This window comes from Homo sapiens, chromosome 15 (assembly GCF_000001405.40).
Source record: "Homo sapiens chromosome 15, GRCh38.p14 Primary Assembly".
NCBI lineage: Eukaryota > Metazoa > Chordata > Mammalia > Primates > Hominidae > Homo > Homo sapiens.
In genome coordinates, this window is record NC_000015.10 from 50,930,350 (window position 1) to 50,947,170 (window position 16,821).

General features: G+C 35.8%; 1 protein-coding gene and 1 pseudogene across 8 annotated transcripts in view; both read left to right on the forward strand.

The window, feature by feature from the left end:
* AP4E1 (adaptor related protein complex 4 subunit epsilon 1) overlaps positions 1–16,821 on the forward strand; it is a 98,404-nt gene that overhangs the window by 22,858 nt on the left and 58,725 nt on the right. For all 7 annotated transcript variants that reach the window (XM_005254264.5, NM_001252127.2, NM_007347.5 and 4 more), the window contains exons 7-10: positions 456–622; positions 4,275–4,348; positions 11,093–11,215; positions 11,317–11,426. In XM_005254264.5, coding sequence (XP_005254321.1) covers positions 456–622; positions 4,275–4,348; positions 11,093–11,215; positions 11,317–11,426 — 474 coding nt within the window. The remainder of the gene's footprint in view (positions 1–455; positions 623–4,274; positions 4,349–11,092; positions 11,216–11,316; positions 11,427–16,821) is intronic.
* On the forward strand, positions 13,780–16,224 carry DCAF13P3 (DDB1 and CUL4 associated factor 13 pseudogene 3; annotated as a pseudogene). Its single transcript, NR_027642.1, has one exon. The product of NR_027642.1 is annotated as a DDB1 and CUL4 associated factor 13 pseudogene 3 (transcript).

Sequence of the window (16,821 nt, forward strand, 5' to 3'; positions counted from 1 at the left end):
AGCCACTGTGCCCGGCCCCAGAATGAATTTAACTCATTTACATGGGAAGTCTTTTGGAAACAGAGTTCAGAGATTGCAAATAGGCCTTGATTTTCATCCAAAGCCGAGGTATTACTGTCCTTTTGCAGTATGCCAGTTCTTTTCACTTTTTGTTTTAATTACTGGTATTGGCTATTAAGGATTCTACCTAAGATATAAGAATTTTGAAATGTGATTAAACTGTATACGGGGAAAAGTAGGGAGTGATGGAAGCTTTTCTGGGATGATTCAGCTTTGGGTTGGTTAGCCAGAGGAATTTTATCATGGAAGATATTATACATATTAGAGCACTGTTTCATTAAATGTGAACATAAACTTAAGTATGTATTAAGTCAGGTTCTATATGACATTTCAATTAGGTCTATTTCTATTTAATAAGACGTTATTAACAAAGTTTTTTTTGCGGGGGGATGTAGGAGAATTCATCTGGATATAAAGACTTGACTGGGAGTTTTGTAACCATTTTGAAGCAAGTAGTTGGAGGAAAGCTCCCAGTAGAATTCAATTACCACAGTGTGCCAGCACCATGGTTACAAATTCAGCTCTTGAGAATACTGGGACTTCTAGGAAAAGATGATCAAAGGTAAACTATTTTCAGTAAGTTTGCTTAATGACCCCCATACCAGATGATAAGCTTAGACTTTAGTAACCTAGAGGTTTAATGATAAACCAGATTCTTCCAATGTTTAATTGGCTTAATAGTGATAAAAGAAGCCATTGTAAGAATCACATAAATGCTTTCAGGTTGCTGGGATAATCCTGGCTCTCTCCTTATCTTAATTTTACCCATCATGAAAGGTACCCATGAAACACCATCTCCTCTGTGATGCTTTCGTAATTGTTCTAGTTCAGGGGTTGGGAAACTTTCTGCAAAGGGCCAGATAATAAATATTTTAGGTGGCCGGGCATGGTGGCTCACGCCTGTAATCCCAGCACTTGGGAGGCTGAGGTGGCGGATCACAAGGTCAGGAGTTTGAGACCAGCCTGACCAACATTGTGAAACCCCGTCTCTACTAAAAATACAAAAATTAGTTGGGCACAGTGGCGCGCGCCTGTAATCCTAGCTACTCGGGAGGCTGAGGTAGGAGAATCACTTGAACCCAGGAGGTGTAGGTTGCAGTGAGCCGAGATTGTGCCACTGCACTCCAGCCTGGGTGACAAAGCGAGACTCTGTCTCAAAAAATAATAATAATAAATAAATAAATAAATATTTTAGGCTTTGTGGGCCATATGTTGTTTTTTGCATCTATTCGACTCTGCTATTACAGCATGAAAGCAGCCACAGATAGAACATAAATAAACATTATGGACATTAAAACTTGAATCTCAAATCGGCACATCATGAAGTATTATTCTTTTAATTTTTTTTCCAACTATTTCAAACTGTAAAATCTCTTCTTAGCTTGAAGCCATACAAAACCAGGCATTTGGCCAGATTAGGCCTGCGGGCTATAGTTTGCCAACCCTTGCTCTGGTTGGGTGTGAGTGCTTCACCTTTTTAATTCATTTATCTGAATTATTCTTTTAGCCAATAACTTAAACTTCTCATGTGTATCTTTCCAACTATATATATATATACTTTCAATTTTGCCATTTTTTTTTTGTTTTTGAGACTAAGTCTTGCTGTGTTGCCCAGGCTGGAGTGTAGTGGCGCGATCTCAGCTCACTGCAACCTCCACCTCCCGGATTCAAGAGATTTTCCCACCTCAGTTTCCCAAGTAGCTGGGATTACAGGCGCACACCACCATGCCCGGCTAATTTTTGTATTTTTAGTAGAAATGGATTTCACCATGTTGGCCAGGCTGGTCTCGAGCTCCTGACCTCAGATGATCTCCCTGCCTCAGCCTCCTAAAGTGCTGGGATGACAGGCGTGAGCCACCGCCCCGGCCTCAATTTTGCCCTACTTTTTCAAACTTAGACACTTTCAAAGTTCTAAGGACAGTACAAGGAGTTCCCTTACATCCTGCACCTAGATTCATCAATTTATTTTCATTTGTTCTATCATTCTCATTCTCTGTGTGTGCATGTGTGTATGCATTTGCATGTGCACCTACATATTATTTTTATTTTAAAAACTATTTCCGAGTTGCTTGAGAGCAAGCCCCTTGAGATTTTAGTTCCCTTGAGAGCAAGGACCTTGGCTAGAGTTCCTGATATGTTTCTGTCTTAAGAAAATGTTTGCTAATCAGTGTTCTGATTTTATGAATATTGTTCCCTTTTATATAGTAGGGTACCTTTGTATTCTAATGTTTTAGCCTAGCTTTACAAAGGGACCATTCTCCAGGCTTTTGCTTCTAGAAATCAACTTAAGGTCAGAATCCATTTGCCTGTGAGCTCCTGACTAGCACTAATTGGGCTACATCACTGTTGGTATTATAGTGTTACTTTTTTCTGTGTTTATGAATCTCAACTACTGATTGAAACCTGCAGTGAAAACGTAAGGTGATGGAGCATGTACACACATTAGAAATGATTGTCTTAATTATATTTTATTTTATATCATGCCAGCCTATCCTAACGTGGAGCTCTAGTTGGAGTTACTGGAATTTATGTTTTAAAATCATGAATTTTATATTAATGCATCAGATCTTATTGGTCTAAAAAAGACTTACTGCCATCCATTGTTATCAGGAAGTAACTTGGGAGGCATTTAGTGAATTTATTAAATTCATTAACTCACTATCTTCCTTTTTCTTGCCTTCATGGATAAATTTGGATAATACATATATACAAAGATGAGTAAGCTAGTCCTTACCTTCACAGCACTCAGGTGACCAGTAATTAGGCTCAGTTATTAATAGAGTGGAACTTTCTTATAATGTTATGGAACATTAGAATGTTTTCTCCTTTTTTGTCTCAACTCTAATGAGATTTTATTTTAACATAAATCTTACATTTTGTTGGACATTATTGCTCAATGTAGCAAAGTAAAAAGTTATAACCGGATTCTAAAGTATTTAATTGAAAAAACCAATTTACTGGAAAAGTCTGTTGTATTTATGGTCTTTTATATCTATTTGAATATTTTCTTGTGTTTTGTAGTTTTGTGCTTCTTAGATTTATTAAGATTTATCTTGATCTTGTTCACAAATGTTTCTTCATTTCATGTGGTTAAGACTCATGCCAGACACTGGCTTTTTAAATTGAGGAACTAGACTATAATCTAGGTATAATATTACCAATTTTTTTTGGGGGGCAGGGAAGGATTGGTAATGTCTGCTGTATGGTTATCTTCTGAGAAAGAAATGCTTACACAATAAAACGAAGGATTTTAGAATGTGGTTCTGGATTCTTAATTATTGGATATTTATACTTCAGTCAAGACAGAATGAAAGTACATGCACTTAACATTGAACTTTCTAGCTGTATATTTGGAAAAAAAGACATTTTCTGAAAGATGTAATTAATTTATATAGTCCCAAATTATTTTGATATTTTCATTTATTTTATGGCACAGTTTCTCTGCAAGACCACTGTATGTATCCTGTGTTGCTGGTATTTTTTTTTTCTTCTATTAGTGCTTTTTGAATTTGTAAAACATACAAAATACCAGCTAAGAAGCTATAGTTTTTCACATTGGCCTCTTGGAGAGGATATTTGTCTAACAAGCGTGGAGGCAGAGTGCTAGGGCACTAATGCACTTTTTTTTTCCCACAGTATCTTCCTCATCACAGTTATTCTTACTGTAATCAGTGACCATAATGACATATGAATGGTCCAAACCTATTAATTCCACAAAATATCTTTTTTTATATTTAATGTAAATGTAAGTAAAAATTTTCTTTCTGAAGAACCTAGTTACTACTCAAGGAAAGACTAGTATTTGAAAACTTTTTCATGGTATCTGGGTAAAATACAGTTAATATGCTATCTGAAATAATATGAATATATGAAGTATTACTATGGTAACTTAGAAATATTCTATTGAAAGAAAATTATAAAATATAGTATGTTCAACCAAATAAAAACTTGGTTTATAAACTAGGCACAGTGAGGAAAGAGTTGATTGACATATATATCTCATTGGTTAACTAGTCAACTTTGATAAAGTAGGAAGTTCAAGCTCATGAAAAACAGCAAACCTTTTAAGAAGTGAAATTTCCATAACTTCATCATAAAATGAATTTCTTTCACTTCTCTTCTGTAGATCCTCAGTTTTAAAGAGAAGTTTGAAAAACTGTTTTATTGGGTTAGAATACTATAATTCTACTGCAAATAAAATATCTTTTAAACAGGACAAGTGAATTAATGTATGATGTTCTTGATGAATCCTTACGAAGAGCTGAGTTAAATCACAATGTCACATATGGTAGGTAATATATGTAAATATTACTCTAATGACTAATAATGTTTTTTAGTATTGCAGTTAAATCTGTGTTAGAATGCTATAAATTCCAATAGAATTTTATACACTGATTTTAAGATAGTTCTTTGGATTATTATTTTTTCAATGTAAGCATTTAATTACTGATAGATAAGAGTAATTTGAACTCATGGCATGTTCTAAATGTTGACCTAAGTTTATTATTATAATTGTCTCTATTGAAAACACATATCAATTATCTATTTTTTTCAAGTATCTAATTGACTGTGAAGATAACTCCATAGATTTGTTCCATGCTTGGTAAACATTTACGGTATTCAAAGACAGTTCTTAAATAAATCAATCGACTAGTTGTCAGATATTTTATTAAATTTCTGTTATTTGTCAGTCCCTATGCAAGGTACTTAGAATACAGCAGTGAATAAAACATTATGGGGCTTATAAACTAGATTGATGGACAGGGATAGGTGTTGTTAATGTTACAAAAGAGAATTGCAGGGCATGGTGGGAGAATATAGCAGCTAGTCTTAGGTGAGGGGAAGAATAAAGAAGGTTTTCCTGAGAAAGAAATATTTAAGAAGACATCTGAAGGATGAATAGGATATAGGCAGGAATATATAGACGTGGAATAATAGTATACTATTTTGTGAAGAGACAATAAATTGTTACATGCAATTTAAAAATTAGTAATAGGAGACAAGAGTAAGTTGAGGGAAGGGGGTAGAAAACTGAGAAAGTAGCCAAAAAAACTTCCAATTTTAACAGCCAACGGGAGGAGCTGTTCTTTTTGATTAGCCTGAGAAAGCTCAGTGAGGAAATTGAGATATTTGGAGCTATTTAAAAGGTAGAACAGTTTGAATTTTGCATGCTCTGGAGGACAACAGTAGAAGAGGCACTGAGAGATGTAACTCAAATGAGAAGTCATTTCTTAATCTGGTAAAATATCATGAAGTAGGAAATGAAGAGCATTACTTTTTCTTTGAGACAAGGATAACCTGCGGACCTTTAAGAACAATGGTTGTAGAAATGTAGGTTAGACCAGAGGACAGAAATTGAACTAGTTTAACTGAAATAAAAAGTGCCTGACAAAGATGCAGTCCAAATAAGGAAAAAGGATTGTGTGTATGAGACTAATACAAGAAAAATAATGCACATGGTAGTGAATTGGGGTGGTAAACTTTGAAGGATAGATTTTTGTTTTGCATGTATGAATGGTAATTAAGGTAATAAGGATGCTTTATTAATTTGTTCAGCCAGCATTTATAGAGTGCCTGTGAAACAAAAACTTGATTGTGTTTTAAACTAGGTGCGGATTGAGGAAAGAGTTGATTGACTTATGTATCTCTCCATGCTAAGTGTGGAAAGTAAAGGGAAGAATAAGGTAGACACAGGCCTTGTCCTTATGAGTATATAGTGTAATAAACAGTTGATATTATATAGGTTCCTGCTATGCAGGAATAAGGGGTCACAGATGTGGATGACCCTTATTGAAGCAGGTGATTTTCTGAGAAGATCTAGAAAAGTGTCAGAATTTTTCCAGTAAGTTAAAGTAATTTAAAGTTTTTTGTTTGCGATGTAACCAGTGTCCAGGATAAGGGTTTGAAAGTCTTTCGGGAAATTCTGCTTAAAATTCAGTTAAAAATCTGCTTTTTTTTTTTCCCTTGCAGAAAGTTTTTTTTATTTTATTTTAATAATTGACATTTCAGCTTTAATTTTTTTATTTTTTTGAATAGGTAATATATGCACATGGGTCAAAATTCAAAAGGTACAAAAGGGTATACAATGAACAGTAAGTGTCCTTTCCACCCTTATCACCCACCACCCAGTTCCCTTTCCTGGGGATAACCACTGTTACCCGTTCCTTTTGATTTGGAGAATACTGTATACCTGAGGAAATATTTTTTAATATTTTCCAGAATGACCCTTTTATTAAGATTGCTTGGCCAGGCATGGTGGCTCACGCCTGTGATCCCAGCACTTTGGGAGGCCGAGGTGGGCGGATCACAAGGTCGGGAGTTCAAGACCAACCTGGCCAATATGGTGAAACCCTGTCTCTACTAAAAATACAAATATTAGCTGGGCATGGTGGCGTGTTCCTGTAATCCCAGCTACTCGGGAGGCTGATGCAGGAGAATTGCTTGAACCGGGACCTGGGAGGCAGAGGTTACAGTGAGCCAAGATCATGCCACTGCACTCTAGCCTTTGCTACATAGCAAGACTCTGTCTCAAAAAAAAAAAATGATTGCTTGAACCAACACCAACAGTTTCTTTCTTTGCAGGCTCTTGGTCCAGTGTTTCACCTTGCTACAGAAACCTTATAGTTCCTGTTGTTTCATTTCCTTTGTTTAGCTTTTCATTGTTATGCTTTTCTCTATATCTGTATTGATAGAGCTTATAACTTACATTGATTATATCAGTGGTAGAGTATTTGCTAGCAATCCTGATATAGGTATTTTACTGCTTAAGAATGTTAATTTTAATTGTAAGCTTCATAAGGGCAGGGACTGTGTCTCTCTTATTAACCAGCATATCTCAGTAGCTGGTACTGTGTTAATGAGTAATATGCTTTAATTGAATTAAAGGAAGAAGAAGTTATTTACTTTATCAGTTATCTAAGTGGGTTTCAGTATTAGTACTTTCTATATTTTATTTTTATGGAAGCTCTATTATTACAATTTAGTGTCTAATCAAGAAATAAATTACATTAAAGACATCTATTGAATATCTGCTATGTGCCAGGCATTGTATAAAGTGGTGTATAGGATATGAAGAAGTATAATATATGACCTTTGTCTTTAAGAAATTCACAATATAGTGGAAAGATAACTTGTTCATGAAAGCTTAATACCAGTGTAAGGCAGAATGTGAAGGGATGGTTCAGGGAAATAAGTATTGTAGGAGTTCCGAGGAAGTAGAGATCATTAAGGGCCTGAGGGCACAGATAGGGATTTACTGATGTGATAGGACCCTGAAAGGTAGATAAGATTTAGATAGGCAGAAGGGAGATTGAAGGGGCTTTTAGGTGGAGGGAACATGAGAGAAGGTGTAGACATGGGGCTATTTAAAAACAGTTTCAGAGACAATGTCTCACCAGTCTGAAAGGATAATTTATGGTGGGGAGCAGTGGAAGGGCGGTATTGTGGAGGACCTGTCACAACAGCCAAATGAGTTTGGATTTGTAAATCCGGAGGTATGGAAGGTTTTTGGATAAGGTACTGATAACATGAGAATATCATTTTTAGTAAATTAGTAAATTGAGAAAATTATATAAAATGGAGTACAAGGGACAAAAGCCATCAAAAGTAGGTAGATAGAAGTACTTTTCCGTTTTTTTTCTCACTAATTTCACCTAAAACCCTTGGATACTATGTATAAGAAACATAAGACTCAGGAAGGTGGAGAACAAGTCAGGCTGGTTAGAGACCTCAGGACACAAGGAAAGAAACAGACACGGTGGTGTGTACCCTGGGTTTTCTTTTTGCCTCGGGTACCCCAGACTGGGTACTGAAGAGCCAGCAGTCTGGAAATGCCAACAGACGCAGACAAAAACACCCCCAGAAAAGCCTGCCCTCTCTCACCAAAGGACCAAGAAGAAAAGGGAAATTAGCAAGGTAGAAAACTTTTAGATGATAACCCCTCTATTCCTTCCAAGCATAGGAAAAAACTGTGGACCCATCCCCTCCAGCAAAGGCTGAGGAAAAAGCCAAGATTTCCATCATCACCAGGTATAATGACATGCCCCAACACACCCTCCCTAACCCCCCACTAGAGTGGTGACAGAAGCCCAAGAGACAGCTGGAATTTCATTGATGCCAGGTGATAAGGAAGGCCCCTTCCTTACGCTGTCAGAGGTGACTTGGGAAGTCTGGATTTTTCCCATCTGGAAGTAGGGAGTAAAGAGGTAATTTTCCCCTCTTTGTGGCCAGGGTTCGGAGGCGTGGGTGTTAGAGAAAGCCTGGTGGACAGTCAGAACTTCCACTCCTGATCAGCGATAATGAGGCCACTCCCTCATAGTGTCACTGGAGGCCACAAAGGAAGCAGTAATGAGGTACCCCTCTCTCTCCCAGGCAGGGTAGAATCAGTTGATACTCCCTCCAACAATAACCAGGAGCCTCTCCATCCCCAGGTATCAAAGGAGACAGAGTAGAGAGCCTGGATTCCATTCCCATTGGGTGATACCTCCTCTCTCCTGCCAGAATAATGTCAGTAGATACTTATTTAACTTAATTAAAGTGAGAGTAAACTCTATTCTGAGGGATAAGGTGTCAGAAGAACTTCACATTTTGTTTGAGCATACATAATCCAACCCAAAATATCTATGATGAAACTGCAGTGTCATAAATGGTGGAACATTATTAATTTTTAATTTAGTAATTTATGCTTTATAGCATTTTAATTAGTACCAAGAGAGTAACCAAGAGTACTGAAGAGTAACCAAGTTCCATGTTGTATTTTTAAGTTTAGAAACCCTCAGTTGTGGCCGGGCAAGGTGGCTCATGCCTGTAATCCCAGCACTTTGGGAGGCTGAGTTGGGCAGATCACTTGAGGTTAGGAGTTCAAAACCAGCCTGGCCAACATGGTGAAACCCTGTCTCTACTAAAAATACAAAAATTAGCTGGCCATGATGGTGCACGCTTGTACTGCCAGCTACTTGGGAGGCCAAGGCAGGAGAATCACTTGAACCTGGGGGGTGGAGGTTGCAGACTGCATCTCAAAAAAAAAAAAAGAAATTCTCAGTTGTATTTTACTTCACCACCACAGAGAGGAGACAGCAGAGTGGCTGCTCTTTCAATTATGAACTTATACTTAGATATTTGTAGAGTTGGAGAATAAAATGACTTAGCTCTGGGTGAGAAAATAATTTAAAAATCAATTTAATTCATTTTCAGCTCAATTATGCCTAAGGAAACTAAAAATAAGTGCTGTTTTTGAACTATTATTTTTTTTCCCATGTTGGCACCCCAGAAACTTTATGAGCATCTGAATATAAACGTTTAAATTTTGGATGGGTAATGGCAGGCTTTTGTTAGTAAAACAATTTAATAGCAAGAGAGTTCTTAATGGTAGGAAGCCGTAATGAAAAATGTGTCAGTTATGTTGGAAAATGGAATATCATCATTTGAAATCTTAGGACTGTCATGGTAGTTCACAGTTCAGCAAACTTTTTCTGAAAAGAGGGCCAGATAGTAAATATTTTAGGCTTTGCAGGTCATGGAGGTTTCTGTCGCATATTCTCCTTTGCTTTTTGTTTTGTTTTTTACAGCCTTTTAAAAATGTAAAAATCTTTCTTTAGTTCACAGGCCTATAAAAATAGGCTGAAGGCTGGATTTAGTGGCATTTTAAAAATAGGCTGAAGGCTGGATTTAGTGGCAGTTTCTCCATTCCTGCCTTATCTTATTAGTCAATTGACTAAGGTTCTCTTTGTTTAGTTTGTCTAGTTCATGAATCATAAAGCGAACTTTTTTCACAGCACAGAGTAAAGACATTTTATAGCATAGCATCTGAATATACAAAGTCTCTTTAGGTTCAGCCAACTTACTCTGTAGTTTTCATTTAAAGTCAGTTCCTTTCTTAAAGAAAAATTAATATATCTGATTTTTTTTCTGTCTCTGTTATAGAAGAGGTTTAAAATTTTTTTTTGTCTTTTCTTTCCTTGTAAATTTGAGAAAAAGACAGAGGTTTATAGAAGTTTTTTCCACAAAATTTATTTGTGCATTAATCGATAGGCAACATAGTGTAAAACATAGCTAGCTGAATATTCAGAATATATTTTGTACATAAAGAGAATGTCGGGTTATATTTTAAGCTTTTGGAAATAGAGAAGGAGTGATTGTATCAGGACACTTGATATACTTCAACTTGTACTAGAACAGTTTTTAAGTGTTGATTCTGTACCTTCACTGTGTCACACTTCTGATACTATGATTCCATAGAACACATAAGACTTAATGTCCTTTCAGTGATTTTTCTTTATCATGGCAAAGCTCCAACCGCATGACTCATGCTTTTTCAAATAATTTGAAAAAAACTTTAGTGTCCATTTTGATCATTCACTTTGATCATCTGTCATAGTGATGAGACTTTCGAATGTATCAGAAAATAAAATTTGAATGCTATCAAGATGTCCAGTAGATTATTTTATGTGCTTTGAGGTTATTTTAAAGAATAGTTTGAAGATTTATGAGTAGGGACTGTATCTTTGAAATAAATACTGGATCATCCTATAAAATGATTATGTTGAAATAAACTACATACGCAATTTTGGCACGTAAATGGTCGAAACTATTTGAGAATAAACCATTTTAAAGCATTAAAGGAACGTGGGAAATATCTTTTTATATAGGAATAATGAATCTGTTATTGATGTTTCCATTAGAATGTGAACTCCTTGAGGGCAGGATGTTTTTTTCCATCTGTTTTGTTCACTGCTATATTCATAGTACTGAAACCATGCCTGGCACATGGGAGGTGTTCAGTAAATACTTGTTCCATTAATAAATGCATAATTATTACCAGTAAATATAATTTTTTGAACATTGTATTGTGGTAACCTAATCCTAGTAACTGGGTAAGCCTGAAAGTAGTAGCGTTTGTTTCTGTGAAAAGTCCATAAATAAGATTTCTGACTAAAATGGACTTTCCAATTAGTTTTATTACAAGTTCTACACAAATACATTGTTTTGTTATACCTTACCATGATACCTGCCATTTTTATGTTTCTTTTTCTAGCTATTTTGTTTGAATGTGTGCATACAGTCTATTCTATTTATCCTAAATCGGAATTACTTGAGAAGGCTGCCAAGTGCATTGGAAAATTTGTTCTGTCACCTAAAATAAATCTAAAATATTTAGGTAAGATGATTGGTTCTTTTGACAGAAATTACAGAGATAGCTTTTGAAATTTGCTGTGTATTTGTTTCAATTCACTTTGTATAATGTGTCTTTGTTTCTAGGACTGAAGGCTCTTACCTATGTTATCCAACAGGATCCTACTCTGGCTCTTCAACACCAGATGACAATAATTGAATGTTTAGATCATCCTGATCCCATTATTAAAAGAGAGGTAAACTGGTATTTTGAATAGTATATGTGAAGTGTTAAAATTTTTAAAAATTTTGTTGGCATTGTGTAGAGAGATTAAAGTGGTGGGCAGTGTGTATGTTTGCTCGTGTGTATATTTTAACTTTTGGGTGTATTTAATCCTTTTTTTGTTTTCTATTTTGAGACAGAATCTCACTCTGTCACCCAGGCTGTAGTGCAGTGGCATGATCTCAACTCACTGCAACTTCCACCTCCTGGGTTCAAGTGATTCTCGTGCCTCAGCCTCCTGAGTAGCTGGGATTATAGGTGTGTGCCACCACGCGTGGCTAATTTTTGTGTTTTTAGTAGAAACGGGGTTTCACCATATTGGCCAGGCCGATCCTGAAATCCTGACCTCAAGTGATCTGCCTGCCTTGGCCTCCCAAAGTGCTGGGATTACAGGTGTGAGCCACTGTGCCTGGCTTATTTATTTTTACTAAAGTTTAAGTAACTTTTCTAAAAAGTACTATGTCAGTGTCCACAGGAATGTCTTTAAATTATGAGTTGAAGGAATTAGGTCCAGTCATCTGTGTGGGTTCATTAATATAATTTCGATCTGAGCATCATACCAATAGGAGTCCTGAATTCTGGTCCCAGGTCTTCCTATTAGTACAATTTCCTGTTATTGTACAATTTAAGATGCAGTTGATGTTAATTAATGATTTCTCATTGTTCTCTTTTATATCTATAAAATTAATTAATTTCCTACCAAATAGATAGAAATATTGAAAGAATTAATGAAGATATTCATAAATTGATTTGAACTTCTTGGAAGGAAAGGCTTAATAATATCATCATCATATATGTCTGTATATTATATATAACATAGCATATACTATATGTTACTTATATATAATATTACTTTTGTATATTACATTTTAATATATATAATTATATATATTACTTATAATAATAATATACTTCTTTCCAACTTTTTCTTTTTGTAAATTTGCTTCAATGTCTACTTGGGTGTCTATATAAATATTCCTTTTAATTCTTATGGAAGAAATCATTCAATATCTTTATTTCAAATGGTATATGGGACCTAGTTAAGAGTAAAAAATTCTGTTTATAAAAATAGCAAAGATTTAAAAAGAATTTTTTAAATAATTTTAGATTCAGGGGATACATGTGTGGGTTTATTACATGGACATTTTATGTAATGCTGAGATTTGGGCGTCTATTGAACCCATCACCCAAATAGTAAACATAGTACTGGGTAGGTAGTTTTTCAACTCATTCCTTTCCCCTCCTGCCCTCCCTGCCTGCTTGTGGAGTCCCCAGTGTCTATTGTTTCATCATTACATCCATGTGTACCCATTGTTTAGCTCCCACTTATAAGTGAGAACAAGTGATATTTGATTTTCTGTTTTTGCATTAATTCACTTAGGATAATGGCTTCCAGCTGCATCCATGTTGCTGCAAAGGACATGATTACATTCTTAAAAAAAGAGAATCTACTAAATACTAAACATCTAAATATCTTAAAAGCAATGAGCTAAGAATAGGAGAGTTTATTGAGAGAACACTATTACATTAAACAACTATAATTTTTGAAGATTACAAATTTTAAATTTTAAAAGGCATTTGAAACACATTTTTTAAAAAATTTGCCTTCATATATATTTATTTATTTCATATTTTTAGTAGTCTGAAAATTGTTACATGCCTTGGATCTGGGCAGTTTGCAGATGTACTAATTTCTGCGTGTAGACATCCTAGAAAAATAAGAAGGCTCGAAGAGACAGTAACAAATAATTATACAGCCGTTCTGCTTTAACAGATACAGAGCATGCATTTCCTTTGTATAGTTGAGTACTAAGTTGAACAAAGTTGACTTAGGTACAGTTTTTTCTTATTGCTATTTGGTAGTCCCCACTTATTTATGGAAGTATGTTCTAATACACCCATTGGATGCCTGAAACCATAGATAGTATTGAACCATGTATATATTTATATATTTTCAATCTGATAACCAAGATGGCTACTTTATGATTAATGGGCTGGTAGCATATACAGTGTGAATACAAAGGGATGATTCATGTCCCAGATGGAGTAGGATGGTGCAAGATTTTATCATGCTACTCAGAAAGGCATGCAATTTAAAACTTATGAATTATTGATTTCTGGAATTTTCCATTTAATATTTTTTAGATTGTGGGTAACTGAAGCCATGGGAAGCAAAACCACAGATAGGGGGTTTATAATATTATTGTATTTCATAATTATCCTTTCACTTAAAAATCAGAGTCAAAGGGAAAATAGGTGACTTTTAAAATTATGAAGGTTGATCTGTTTGGTCCCTTACCTGCAGCGAGAAAAGTGATTTGAATTCTTTGAGGAGTTACTGAGTATCCTTGGTGCCCAAAGATGGCACTAAAGTACTGTCTCTTCAATGCTGTTGTCACTTCTAACCTCTATCAAATGATACGGTGAGAACTTTGGTCCTTGGATGTTCAGTGATCTGTAGCTTGGGGTAGGATTCCTTTTTACCAGGTTTTATTACCTCTGTCATATACAGGAGGAGAGAAGGTGAGAGGGAGCTACCAAGTCTGAATAGAAAAGACCTCTGGCAATACAGTTTGTAACACTATACCCCATTCAGTTCTGGAAATGCCATATTTCATGGTCTTAGAATAGGAAATAAATTTGATGTATGTTATCTAAAACTATATAACATAATTTGGAGTTCACAGGGAGCATGTCTGAAGCAGCTCCATAAGTTGAAAGCTATTGTTGGGGTGACCTATGTATTTTTAGATTTAAGTGGTGTTACACATTAACTAAAACAGTTAAAAAAAAAAAATCAGGCAGTGGACAGAACTCACAGCAAAGAGCTCGTGGAGTCCGGCCAGAAGAGCAACCAAGATGAGGATGAAGATACTGAGCCAGAATCTGGACAATTATGTCTGTGAAACCAAGTTGGACTTACAGAGAGTTCCAAGAAACTATGATCCTACCTTACATCCTTTTGAGGTCCCATGAGAATATGTAAGAGCTTTAAATGCTACCAAAATGGAATGAGTATTTGCAAAACCATTCCTTGCTTTGCTGGATGGTCACCAAGATGGAGTCAGTTGCTTGGCAAAGCATCCAAAGAACCTGGCTACTGTCCTTTCTGGGGCGTGTGATGGAGAGGTTAGAATTTGGAACCTGACTCAACAGAAATGTATCCATACAATACAAGCACATGAAGGCTTTGTATAAGGAATACGTACTCACTTTTGTGGGACTTCTTTTTTCACCGTTGGTGGTGACAAAACTGTGAAACAATGGAAAATGGATGGGCCAGGCTATGGAGATGAGGAAGAACCATTACATACAACATTAGGAAAGACAGTGTATACTGGGGTTTATCATCACTGTAAAGAAGCTGTTTTTGCCACATGTGGACAGCAAGTAGACATTTGGGATGAACAAAGAACTAATCCTGTATGTTCAATGACCTGGGGATTTGACAGTGTAAGTAGTGTTAAATTTAACCCAATCGAGACATTTCTCTTGGGAAGTTTGTGCGTCTGACAGGAATATAGTACTGTACAACATGAGGCAAGCTACTCCTTTGAAAAAGGTTATATTAGATATGAGAACAAATACAGTTTGTTGGAACCCTATGGAAGCTTTCATTTTTACGGCAGCAAATGAAGACTATAACTTACATACTTTTGATATGTGTGCACTGGACACTCCTGTAATGTTCCATATGGATCATGTATCTGCAGTGCTTGACATGGATTACCCTCCCACTGGGAAAGAGCTTGTGTCTGCTAGTTTCGATAAAGCTATTTGTATCTTTCCTATAGACAAAAGTTGAAGCAGGGAGGTATATCACACAAAGCGAATGCAACATGTTATCTGTGTAAAATGCACTTCTGACAGCAAGTATATTATGTGTGGATCTGATGAAATGAACATTTGCCTGTGGAAAGCTAATGCTTCTGAAAAATTTGGTGTGCTTACATCATGAGAAAAAGCAGCTAAGGATTATAACTAGAAATTGAAGGAGAAATTTCAGCATCATCCTGATATAAAATGTATAGCTTGTCATTGACATCTACCAAAATCTATCTACAGCCAGATTCAGGAACAGTGCATCATGAAAGAAGCTCGTCGAAGAAAGGAAGTGAATCGTATTAAACACAGCAAGCCTGGATCTGTGCCAATTGTGTCAGAGAAGAAGAAACATGTAGGGGCAGTTGTAAAATAATTAGTATTCCTAACAATCCTGATGTACAATTATTTGTTACTTTTGATTTGAGAACTCTACAAATTAAAGTGCTGGGACTAGATTAATTGCATACATTTTAGTTACATGTGTAGAGCTTTATTGTTGCTCCTTTTAGCTACCCTGAAAAATGCCTAGTTGATAAAGACTATCTAACTATTTTATCCTTAATCTGCATTCTTTTATTGAAGAATACAGTATTTGCAACTAACTCATTTTTTCCTGTTTTAATTACAGATATACTCTGTATATTCTCTCTGATCTATTATTGTAGACACTGCACATTCAAATTGACATTTAAGACCAAACGTCTCTTATGTTATCTTTAACATTACTTTGAATAATAATTACAATGATGTTTCTTCCTATGATTCCACATAACATTTAGAAGAATGTCAACTTTTTATAACTGAATGTATTTCTAGTGCTTTACTTATATTTGGCTTTTCGACTCTTACAAAACCATCAGTCTGCATTTATATAACTTTTATAAATAATATTATAATTTGGGTCAAGTTAAGATAATAAAACTTCCTTTCAGCGTTGAAAAAAAAAATCTTTCAAAATATGTTATCCTTTCTGCTTTAAGTCCTGGCTGTAAGGATTGAAAAATTAGAACCCTAAATATATTGAGTAAGTTTGACAAATATGTGGAAATTATCTTGCAGCTAATATTGCTGATCCTAAAACACCAATAAATGATGCTTTCTCAGTATTTCTCATATTGATTTCTGAGACTTATATTTTTGAAACCTTAATCTAGAGCTGTGGCAAGCCATGCAAATGGGAGCTTACTCTGGTATTGGTTTTCCTTCATCTTATTTGAAGCAGCAAGAGGTATATTCCTCAGCACTTAGAAAGTAGCTGTAGCAGCTGTGCGCTGTGGCTCACACCTGTAATCCCAGCACTTTGGGAGGCCGAGGTGGGCGGATCACCTGAGGTCAGGAGTTCGAGACCAGCCTGGCCAACATGGTGAAACCCGATCTCTACTAAAAATACAAAAATTAGCCAGGCTTGGTGGCACGCTGAGATCCTGCCACTGCACTCTAGCCTGGGCTACAGAGTGAGACTCCATCTCAAGAAAAAAAAGAAAAGAAAAGAAAGAAAGTAGCTACAGGCCAGGCACAGTGGCTCATGCCTGTAATCCCAACAC